The sequence below is a fragment of the Homo sapiens genome, chromosome 2, assembly GCF_000001405.40.
Source record: "Homo sapiens chromosome 2, GRCh38.p14 Primary Assembly".
In the NCBI taxonomy this organism is placed as follows: Eukaryota; Metazoa; Chordata; class Mammalia; order Primates; family Hominidae; genus Homo; species Homo sapiens.
In genome coordinates, this window is record NC_000002.12 from 209,163,766 (window position 1) to 209,176,417 (window position 12,652).

At 38.0% G+C, this 12,652-nt stretch overlaps 1 annotated feature.

Moving 5' to 3' along the window:
• Window positions 10,517–10,690: a silencer, noted in NCBI's record as "fragment chr2:210039006-210039179 (GRCh37/hg19 assembly coordinates)". NCBI's record gives its function as "represses an EF-1alpha promoter that drives an FKBP-Casp9 reporter gene in an ReSE screen in HepG2 liver carcinoma cells {active_cell/tissue: HepG2}" and the evidence as "EXISTENCE:reporter gene assay evidence [ECO:0000049][PMID:32094911]".

Consider the following 12,652-nt stretch of genomic DNA (forward strand, 5'->3'; position numbering starts at 1 on the left):
CACACTGACACCTCACACGGCAGGGTACTCCAACAGACCTGCAGCTGACGGTCCTGTCTGTTAGAAGGAAAACTAACAAACAGAAAGGACATCCACACCAAAAACCCATCTGTACATCACCATCATCAAAGACCAAAAGTAGATAAAACCACAAAGATGGGGAAAAAACAGAACAGAAAAACTAGAAACTAAAAAGCAGAGCGCCTCTCCTCCTCCAAAGGAACGCAGCTCCTCACCAGCAATGGAACAAAGCTGGATGGAGAACGACTTTGACCAGCTGAGAGAAGAAGGCTTCAGAGGATCAAATTACTCTGAGCTACGGGAGGACATTCAAACCAAAGGCAAAGAAGTTGAAAACTTTGAAAAAAATTTAGAAGAATGTATAACTAGAATAACCAATACAGAGAAGTGCTTAAAGGAGCTGATGGAGCTGAAAACCAAGGCTCGAGAACTACGTGAAGAATGCAGAAGCCTCAGGAGCCGATGCGATCAACTGGAAGAAAGGGTGTCAGTGATGGAAGATGAAATGAATGAAATGAAGTGAGAAGGGAAGTTTAGAGAAAAAAGAATAAAAAGAAATGAGCAAAGCCTCCAAGAAATATGGGACTATGTGAAAAGACCAAATCTACGTCTGATTGGTGTACCTGAAACTAACGGGGAGAATGGAACCAAGTTGGAAAACACTCTGCAGGATATTATCCAGGAGAACTTCCCCAATCTAGCAAGGCAGGCCAACGTTCAGAATCAGGAAATACAGAGAACACCACAAAGATACTCCTCGAGAAGAGCAACTCCACGACACATAATTGTCAGATTCACCAAAGTTGAAATGAAGGAAAAAATGTTAAGGGCAGCCAGAGAGAAAGGTCGGGTTACCCTCAAAGGGAAGCCCATCAGACTAACAGCGGATCTCTCGGCAGAAACCCTACAAGCCAGAAGAGAGTGGGGGCCAATATTCAACATTCTTAAAGAAAAGAATTTTCAACCCAGAATTTCATATCCAGCCAAACTAAGCTTCATAAGTGAAGGAGAAATAAAATACTTTACAGACAAGCAAATGCTGAGAGATTTTGTCACCACCAGGCCTGCCCTAAAAGAGCTCCTGAAGGAAGCGCTAAACATGGAAAGGAATAACCGGTACCAGCCGCTGCAAAATCATGCCAAAATGTAAAGACCATCGAGACTAGGAAGAAACTGCATCAACTAACGGCAAAATCACCAGCTAACATCATCATGACAGGATCAAATTCACACATAACAATATTAACTTTCAATGTAAATGGACTAAATGCTCCAATTAAAAGACACAGACTGGCAAATTGGATAAAGAGTCAAGACCCATCAGTGTGCTGTATTCAGGAAACCCATCTGACGTGCAGAGACACACATAGGCTCAAAATAAAAGGATGGAGGAAGATCTACCAAGCAAATGGAAAACAAAAAAAGGCAGGGGTTGCAATCCTAGTCTCTGATAAAACAGACTTTAAACCAATAAAGATCAAAAGAGACAAAGAAGGCCATTACATAATGGTAAAGGGATCAATTCAACAAAAAGAGCTAACTATCCTAAATATATATGCACCCAATACAGGAGCACCCAGATTCATAAAGCAAGTCCTGAGTGACCTACAAAGAGACTTAGACTCCCACACATTAATAATGGGAGACTTTAACACCCCACTGTCAACATTAGACAGATCAACGCGACAGAAAGTCAACAAGGATACCCAGGAATTGAACTCAGCTCTGCACCAAGCGGACCTAATAGACATCTAAAGAACTCTCCACCCCAAATCAACAGAATATACATTTTTTTCAGCACCACACCACACCTATTCCAAAATTGACCACATACTTGGAAGTAAAGCTCTCCTCAGCAAATGTAAAAGAACAGAAATTATAACAAACTATCTCTCAGACCACAGTGCAATCAAACTAGAACTCAGGATTAAGAATCTCACTCAAAACCGCTCAACTACATGGAAACTGAACAACCTGCTCCTGAATGACTACTGCGTACATAACGAAATGAAGGCAGAAATAAAGATGTTCTTTGAAACCAACGAGAACAAAGACACAACATACCAGAATCTCTGGGACGCATTCAAAGCAGTGTGTAGAGGGAAACTTATAGCACTAAATGCCCACAAGAGAAAGCAGGAAAGATCCAAAATTGACACCCTAACATCACAATTAAAAGAACTAGAAAAGCAAGAGCAAACACATTCAAAAGCTAGCAGAAGGCAAGAAATAACTAAAATCAGAGCAGAACTGAAGGAAATAGAGACACAAAAAACCCTTCAAAAAATTAATGAATCCAGGAGCTGGTTTTTTGAAAGGATCAACAAAATATATAGACCACTAGCAAGACTAATAAAGAAAAAAAGAGAGAAGAATCAAATAGACGCAATAAAAAATGATAAAGGGGATATCACCACCGATCCCACAGAAATACAAATTACCATCAGAGAATACTACAAACACCTCTATGCAAATAAACTAGAAAATCTAGAAGAAATGGATAAATTCCTCAACACATACACTCTCCCAAGACTAAACCAGGAAGAAGTTGAATCTCTGAATAGACCAATAACAGGATCTGAAATTGTGGCAATAATCAATAGCTTACCAACCAAAAAGAGTCCAGGACCAGATGGATTCTCAGCCGAATTCTACCAAAGGTACAAGGAGGAACTGGTACCATTCCTTCTGAAACTATTCCAATCAATAGAAAAAGAGGGAATCCTCCCTAACTCATTTTATGAGGCCAGCATCATTCTGATACCAAAGCCGGGCAGAGACACAACCAAAAAAGAGAATTTTAGACCAATATCCTTGATGAACATTGATGCAAAAATCCTCAATAAAATACTGGCAAAACGAATCCAGCAGCACATCAAAAAGCTTATCCACCATGATCAAGTGGGCTTCATCCCTGGGATGCAAGGCTGGTTCAATATATGCAAATCAATAAATGTAATCCAGCATATAAACAGAGCCAAAGACAAAAACCACATGATTATCTCAATAGATGCAGAAAAGGCCTTTGACAAAATTCAACAACCCTTCCTGCTAAAAACTCTCAATAAATTAGGTATTGATGGGTCGTATTTCAAAATAATAAGAGCTATCTATGACAAACCCACAGCCAATATCATACTGAATGGGCAAAAACTGGAAGCATTCCCTTTGAAAACTGGCACAAGACAGAGATGCCCTCTCTCACCACTCCTATTCAACATAGTGTTGGAAGTTCTGGCCAGGGCAATCAGGCAGGAGAAGGAAATAAAGGGTATTCAATTAGGAAAAGAGGAAGTCAAATTGTCCCTGTTTGCAGACGACATGATTGTATATCTAGAAAACCCCACTGTCTCAGCCCAAAATCTCCTTAAGCTGATAAGCAACTTCAGCAAAGTCTCAGGATACAAAATCAATGTACAAAAATCACAAGAATTCTTATACACCAACAACATACAAACAGAGAGTCAAATCATGAGTGAACTCCCATTCACAATTGCTTCAAAGAGAATAAAATACCTAGGAATCCAACTTACAAGGGATGTGAAGAACCTCTTCAAGGAGAACTACAAACCACTGCTCAATGAAATAAAAGAGGATACAAACAAATGGAAGAACATTCCATGCTCATGGGTAGGAAGAATCAATATCGTGAAAATGGCCATACTGCCCAAGGTAATTTACAGATTCAATGCCATCCCCATCAAGCTACCAATGCCTTTCTTCACAGAATTGGAAAAAGCTACTTTAAAGTTCATATGGAACCAAAAAAGAGCCCGCATTGCCAAGTCAATCCTAAGCCAAAAGAACAAAGCTGGAGGCATCACACTACCTGACTTCAAACTATACTACAAGGCTACAGTAACCAAAACAGCATGGTACTGGTAGCAAAACAGAGATATAGATCAATGGAACAGAACAGAGCCCTCAGAAATAATGCTGCATATCTACAACTATCCACAACTATCTGATCTTTGACAAACCTGAGAAAAACAAGCAATGGGGAAAGGATTCCCTATTTAATAAATGGTGCTGGGAAAACTGGCTAGCCATATATAGAAAGCTGAAACTGGATCCCTTCCTTACACCTTATACAAAAATCAATTCAAGATGGATTAAAGACTTAAACGTTAGATCTAAAACCATAAAAACCCTAGAAGAAAACCTAGGCAATACCATTCAGGACATAGGCATGGGCAAGGACTTCATGTCTAAAACACCAAAAGCAATGGCAACAAAAGACAAAATTGACAAATGGGATCTAATTAAACTAAAGAGCTTCTGTACAGCAAAAGAAACTACCATCAGAGTGAACAGGCAACCTACAAAATGGGAGAAAATTTTCACAACCTACTCATCTGACAAAGGGCTAATATCCAGAATCTACAATGAACTCAAACACATTTACAAGAAAAAAACAAACAACCCCATCAAAAAGTGGGCAAGGACATGAACAGACACTTCTCAAAAGAAGACATTTATGCAGCCAAAAGACACATGAAAAAATGCTCATCATCACTGGCCATCAGAGAAATGCAAATCAAAACCACAATGAGATACCATCTCACACCAGTTAGAATGGCGATCATTAAAAAGTCAGGAAACAACAGGTGCTGGAGAGGATGTGGAGAAATAGGAACACTTTTACACTGTTGGTGGGACTGTAAACTAGTTCAACCATTGTGGAAGTCAGTGTGGCGATTCCTCAAGGATCTAGAACTAGAAATACCATTTGACCCAGCCATCCCATTACTGGGTATATACCCAAAGGACTATAAATCATGCTGCTATAAAGACACATGCACTCGTATGTTTATTGTGGCACTATTCACAATAGCAAAGACTTGGAACCAACCCAAATGTCCAACAATGATAGGCTGGATTAAGAAAATGTGGCACATATACACCATGGAATACTTTGCAGCCATAAAAAATGATGAGTTCATGTCCTTTGTAGGGACATGGATGAAATTGGAAATCATCATTCTCAGTAAACTATCGCAAGAACAAAAAACCAAACACCGCATATTCTCACTCATAGGTGAAAAATGAACAATGAGATCACATGGACACAGGAAGGGGAACATCACACTCTGGGGACTGTTGTGGGGTGGGGGGAGGTGGGAGGGATAGCATTGGGAGATATACCTAATGCTAGATGACGAGTTAGTGGGTGCAGCACACCAGCGTGGCACATGTATACATATGTAACTAACCTGCACAATGTGCACATGTACCCTAAAACTTAAAGTATAATAATAAAAGAAAAAAAAATTTTTCTAATGGAAAAAATATATATATTTTAATTACTCATTTTATCAAAAAATTATATTTTATATGTTCAAAATTTATATGTACATTCTATTCTATTTATAATATGCATATTCTAATTTATTGCTGAAATTATACAATATATGTCTTATTTCTGTTTTTAGACAGATTTAATATTTGCACCAGTCCTTTACTATGGTTTCCCTATAACTGATGTGGTAGGCAGAATAACTCCTGAAGATATTCACATTCTAATCCCCAGAACCTGTGAATATGTTACATTATGTTCCAGAACTTTCCAGATGTGATTAAGAATATTGCAATGGGGAGATTATCCTGGATTATCTGGGTCGATCCAATTTAAATCACCAGGGTCTTTATATGTGACAGAGGAAGCTAATAATGTAAAAGTCAGAGACTTATTTGAAAATACTATCGTGTTTGATTTGAAAATGAAAGAAGTGGCCATGAGCCAAGGAATGTTGTCAATCTCTAGGGTCTGGAAAAGGCAAGGAAACTGATTTTTCCCTAGACCCTCTAGAAGTCCCACTGATACCCTGATTTTAGTATGGTGACACTCGTTTTGGACTGCTGAACTCCAAAACTAGATGATTTTTTAAAAATTGTACTGTTTTAAGTCTCCAAGTTTATGTAATTTGTTATAGCAGCAATACAAAACTAATATATCTGAGTTATTTGTTCTGATTTATTTCTTCAATATTTGGATATGATCAAGTAGGATTGCAAAAGTGCTGTGTTCCTGAATTGGTGTTTCAGAATGTACACCTTCACCTTTATGGTAAGAGTATATAAAGGCATCATGTTACTCAGATCTTTTATTGCTCCACTATCTTCTTACAATATGTTTTTCACTGGAGAAATTTTTCTCCTTTGTACATCACTATGTTTTCCTACCTGGATATTTTAAGATTTTTTTCTTCATTATTGAATTTTAATGAGCTTTACAGGATTTTCTTTGTGTTAATTATTTTGTATCGATATTTTTACTGCAAAACCTAAAGTTCTTTTCATCTACAGTCACATATTATTTTGGGAAAGGTTTCTTCCAACATATGTTATGATAATTATTATTTATGTTTTGGTTATGCACATAAGGAAAATTATTTAGGTTTATGCTGGATACTCTTTATCTTTCAAACATATAATGTTTATCATTTATATTTTGTACTAGATCTTTACCTGTTTGGATTGCAAAATTTCCTCAATTCTTTCTACTGCCACCCTGACTATAATTTCACTTTAGTATAATTTTCCCTATGGCTTGTAACATTGCTTTGCCTCTGGAATACTTTACATTATATTATCCCTCCCCACAGAAATAATCCAGTTTGCTTTTCATTTCTTTTGTTATCTTCTAATCATTTCTTTGAACTTCACTACACTTTTGTTGAACTTTAATAGATGCTTTGTTTGATCAACATTTCATGTGGAACTATAGAGAATAGTTCCTCCAATAGTTCATGTGGAACTACTGGTCAAATATCTTCCCTGTCAGTTAATTCTCCTTGGAGATGCATTTTCTTCTCCTGACTTTTTCTCAAGTTTATTCAAAAATGTTTTCATGGATTCCATCCACAGGCATACCTCGTTTTATGGTTCTTGCCTTATTGAACTTCACACATACTATGTTTTTTTCACAAATTGAAGGTCCATGACAACCCTGCATGAAGCAAATGTACTGACTCCATTTTTCCAACAGCATGTGCTCACTTCATGTCTCACTGTCACATTTTGATAATCTCATATTTCAAACTTTACTATTATTATTATTAATTATGTCAGTTACGGTGATCTGTGATAAGTGATCTTTGATATTATTGTAATTTTTATGAGATGCCATGAAGCGCACCCATATAAAATGGCAAACTTAACTGAGAAATATTGTGCACATTCTGAGTGCTCCAGTGACCAGCCTCATCTCTCTCCCTCTGCTCAAGCTTCCCTATTTGCTGAGACACAACAATATTGAAATTATGCCAAAGAATAACTGCACAATAGCCTCTAAGTATTCAAGTGAAAGCAAGAGTCCCATAGCTCTTACTTTAAATCAAAAGCTAGAAATGATTAAGATTAGTGACAAAGGCCTGTCAAAAGCCCTGATAGGTCTAAAACTAGGCCTCTTGCAACAAACAGCCAAGTTGTAAATGCAAAAGAAAAGTTCTGGAAGGAAATTAAAAGTGCTACTCCAGTGAACACACAAGTGATGAGAAAGCCATGCAGTCTTCTTGCTGATATGGAGAAAGTTTTAGTGCCCTGGATAGAAGACCAAACCAGCCACAATATCCCCTTAAGCCAAAGCCTAACCTAGACCAAGGTCCTAATTCTCTTCAATTATATGAAGCTGCGAGAGGTGAGGAAGCTGCATAAGAAAAGTTGGAAGGTAGCAGAGGTTGGTTCATTAGGTTTAATGAAATTAGTCTTTTCCATAAAATAAAAGTTCAAAGTGAAGAAGCAAGTGCTGATGTAGAAACTACAACAAATTATGCAGAAGATCTAGCTAAGATCATTGAAGAAGGCGGCTATACTAAATCACAGATTTTCAGTGTAGATGAGACAACCTTTTATTAGAAGAAGATGCCATCTAGGACTTTCATAGCTAAAGAGGAGAAGTCAGTGCCTGGCTTCAAAGCTTCAAAAGACAGGCTGACTCTCTTATTAAGGGCTAATGCAGTTGGTGACTTTAACATGAAGCCAGTGCTAAATCTAGTTTGCCTGTGCCCTCTAAATGAACAACAAAGTCTGAATGGCAGCACATCTATTTACAGCATGGTTTACTGAATATTTTAAGCACACTCTTGAGACCTACTGCTCAGAACAAAAGATTTCTTTCAAAAGGTTACTGCTCATTGACAATGAACGTGATCACCCAAGAGCCCTGATCTCAGAGATATACAAAGAAAGCTATATTATTTTTATGCCTGCTAACGCCACATGCATTCTGCAGCCGATGGATCAAGGAGTAATTTTGGCTTTCAAGTTTTGTTATTTAAGAAATACATTTTGCAATGCCATAGCTGCCATAGATTGTGATTCCTCTGATGTATCTAGACAAACTAAATTGAAAATCTTCTGAAAGAGATTTACCATTTCTAGATGCCATTTAAGAATATGTGTGATCATGAGAGGAGGTTAAAATACCAACATTATCAAGAATTTGGAAGAAGCTGATTCCAGCCCTCATGGATGACTTTGAGGAATTCAGGGTTTCAATAGAAGAAGTCACTGCAGATGTGGTGGAAATAGCAAGAGAACTAGAATTAGAAATGGAGCCTGAAGATGTGACCGAATTGATGCAACCTCATGATATAACTTTAATGGGTGGAGTTACTTCTTATGGCTGAGCAAAGAAAATGGTTTTTTGAGATGGAATTTACTCATGATAAAGATTCTAGGAACATTGTTGAAATGATAAAAAAGGATTTTGAATATTACATAAATTCAGTTGATAAAGTAGTGGCAGGGTTTGAGAGGATTCACTCCAATTCTAAAAGAACTTCTACTGCGGGCAAAATGGTATTAAACAACATTACATGCTGCAGAGAAACCTTTTGTGAAAGGAAGAGTCGAACAATGGAAATTTCACTGCTGTATTATTTTAAGAAATTGGCATAGCCACCCCAGCCTTCAGCAACCACCACCCTGATTAGTCAGCACGCATTGACACTGAGGCAAAATTCTCACCAGCAAAAAAGACTATGACTTGCTGAAGGCCAGATGATTGTTAGCATTTTTTAGCAATAACGTATTTTTAAATGGAGGTATGTATTTTTTTTTAGATGTAAGTCTATTGCACACTTAGACTAGTTAGTATAGTACAAACATAACTTTTGTTTGCACTGAGAAACAAAAAAAAAATGCCACTCACTTTATTGCAATATTTGCTTTACCATGTGGTATGTAACTGGACCTGCAATAACTCTCAGATATGCCTGCATTTCTTTTTTTCTTTTCCTTTTTCTTTTTTTTTTTTTTTTTTTTTTTGAGACGGAGTCTCACTCTTGCTGCCCAGGCTGGAGTGCAATGGCGCGATCTCGGCTCACCGCAACCTCCGCCTCACCGGTTCAAGCGATTCGATGCTCCTGCCTCAGCCTTCTGAGTAGCCAGGATGACAGGCATGTGCCACCACCCCTGGCTAATTTTGTATTTTTAGTGGCGACGGGGTTTCTCCATGTTGTGCAGGCTGGTCTCGAATTCCTGACCTCAGGTGATCCGCCCGCCTCAGCCTCCCAAAGTGCTGAGATTACAGGCGTGAGCCACCGCGCCTGATCGATATACCTGTATTTCTTACAGATTTCTCTCTTACCTGGGAAGCATGTGTCCTTTCAGTGTTCAGGGTTCATACTAGTCACAGAAAAAAACTCTGAGGCCACAGGTCCTCAGAGGCTCCATCAGTTAATCAATACCTTCCCCTCTCTTCAGAGGGATTACCCTGATAATTCTCCCACAACCAGAACCTGAGTAGGATGCCAGATATGTAAATAGGATACAATAGAACTTGTGTCCACATAGTTTCCCTGCAAATCTATATTTTTGCAGTTTAGATAAGTCCTTAAAAAACATTCTGCACTTCTCTTCTGGTAATATCATACCCTAGTTTTTTTCAGTACACTAGCGAAAATTATTCTTTTTTACTCATATATTATGTCTCAACAAAATGTAAACACCTTCAATTTTACTTGTGGTCAATGCAGTTATGTGTTGTATAATCTTCGGATGTGGGAGATTTAAGTATCTATCTAGGGGGTAAGGAATTACTTGTTATCAACTCCATTTCTAAATTGAGTGTAAACATATGCCTACATAGGTAAGTTTTTTTTGTTCGTTTGTTTGTTTTGAGATGGAGTCTTGCTCTGTCACCTAGGCTGGAGTGCAGTGGCGTGATCTCCGCTCACTGCAAGCTCCGCCTCCCGGGTTCACCCCATTCTCCTGCCTCAGCCTCCCAAGTAGCTGGGACTACAGGTGCCCGCCACCATGCCTGGCTAATTTTTTTGTATTTTTAGTAGAGACGGGGTTTCACTGTGTTAGCCAGGGTGGCCTTGATCTCCTGATCTCATGATCTGCCCACCTCGGCCTCCCAAAGTGCTGGGATTACAGGCATGAGCCACTGCACCCAACCATAGGTAAGTTTTTAATACAGCAGCCCCTCCTTATTCACAGTTTCTTTCTGTGGTTTCAGTTACCTGGGGTCAACCACAGTCTGGAAACAGGTTAGTCCATTACAGTAAGATATTTTGATTAGCTGGGCATGACTGTGGGCACCTGTAATCTCAGCTACTTGGGAGGGGAGGTTGAGGCAGGAGAATCATTTGAACCCAGGAGGTGAAGTTTGCAGTGAGTCGAGATCACGCCATTGCACTCCAGCCTGGGTGACAGGGCGAGACCCCAACTCAGGAAAAAAAAAAAAAGGGTATTTTGAGAGAGAGAAAGACCAAATAACTTTTATTTTTATAACTTATTAAACTTTTATTTTTATAACTTTTATTAAGGTATATTGTTATAATTGTTCTATTTTAGTAATAATTATTGTTAATGTCTCACTGTGTCAAATTTTTAAATCAAACTTTATCATAGGTATGCATGTATAAGAAAAAAACATAGTATATATAGGTACTATCCATGGTTTCAGGCATCCACTGGTGGTCTTGAAACATATGCTCTGCAGAAAAAGGTGAACGTCTGTATTTTACCAGGCATTTTACGACCTGTTAATGTGAAAGAACTTAACTAAAGTGGGTCACTGCAGATTAAGTTCTTATTAAATTCTAATACTGATCAGTAGATACTAATTGGGACATACTGGGTTTTCTAAAATTATTATTAAGTATCTGAGATACATTAAGTTAGTAAGTATTTAGTAAACATCCACTATATGTCAGGCGCTATGATGGGCATTTTGAAAGTATCAGTTAATAAATAAGTTAAAATCTTTGCCTTTATGAAAGCAGGTCTGTGACAAGCATGAATGCACTTGCATGACCTGAGAGTGACTGTCTCCTTAAATTTTGCAACCTAGATGCCTTGCTGGCCTTACCCTAGGACAGCCATATGACATGAACCTTATGATGCAGTGGGGAAAATGCAACAAACAAGATTAGTGAGTAAACCATATGGTATTTTAGATGTTGGTAAATTCTTTCAGATAAAATAAAGAAGGAAAATGGGATAGTAACTTTTTTAGTTGTTTAGGGCATGGGAAAGAGTTGCACTTTTAGTTAAGGATGTCTAGGGATATTTTCTTTGAGATGGTGGATGTTGAGTATGCCTGATGAAAGAGACATAGTGAATTAAATGGAGACTTGAGGGAGGGATTCTAGCCAAAGAAACGAGTAAAAAGGCTTTGGGTAAAAGCTTACCTATTATTCTAGAACAACAGAAAGGAGACCAGTATGGTTGGAGTGGAGTGAGCAAAGAAGAAAGTTGTAGGAAATCAGTGATAAGACTGGGCCCATATCAGTAGGAAAATTCAACCACTATGAGGACTTTGGTTTACATTCTGCATGCTATGGAAAAGCTCTAGAGAGTTTTGATTTGAGAATTGTCACGGATTAACATATTTTAGCAGCACTACTCTGCTGCTATCTATAGAAAAGACATTAGTGTTGCAAGATCCAAGTGGTGAGGTCAAAAGTCTACTGCACAAACACAGGAAATGAATGCATGATATGTTGTATGTAATGCTACAGAATTTGCTGTGGGTTTGAATGGAGGGAGAAAGAGAAATTGTGACATTAAGGAGGACAAAGTTTTTTGCCTTAGCAACTAGAACATTGTTGTCCTGTATTGAAAGATGAAGACTGTTCTGGTTAGGAAATGGTAGGTTCAAGATGTGTGTTAGACATCTAAATGAAGATGTTAAGCAGTCAATTTTCCCTCTAAGAATCAAGAGTTCAAGAGGGAAGCTCACGTTAGAAATGTAAGTTTGACAGTCATCAGCATGTAGATAGTATTTAGAGTCATAGCATCAAGAAAGTGAGACTAAATAGAAAATAAAAGAAATCTTGGATTTACTTCTTTGGCTTCTCCAATGTATAGAGGCAGGGAGATGAGGGAATGTCAGCAGAGGAGACTGAGAATAGATGGAGGGAGGAGGAGGGAAGGAAGAGAGTATTATCTTAGAAGCCAAGTGAAGGAGGCATTGCAAAAGTGTGTCAAATGTTGTTTTATCAGATATTCCCCAAATCATATGAGGATACTACGGATCTTATTAAAATGCAGTTCCATTGAAAAAGTAAAGAGGGATATTGCTAAATATTATACTTATTTGTATTTTTAGTACTTATATTCTTCTTGGGATTTTTTTTAGCATTTTATTTACTCCTTCATTGGTGCAAGCTGAGGGGAT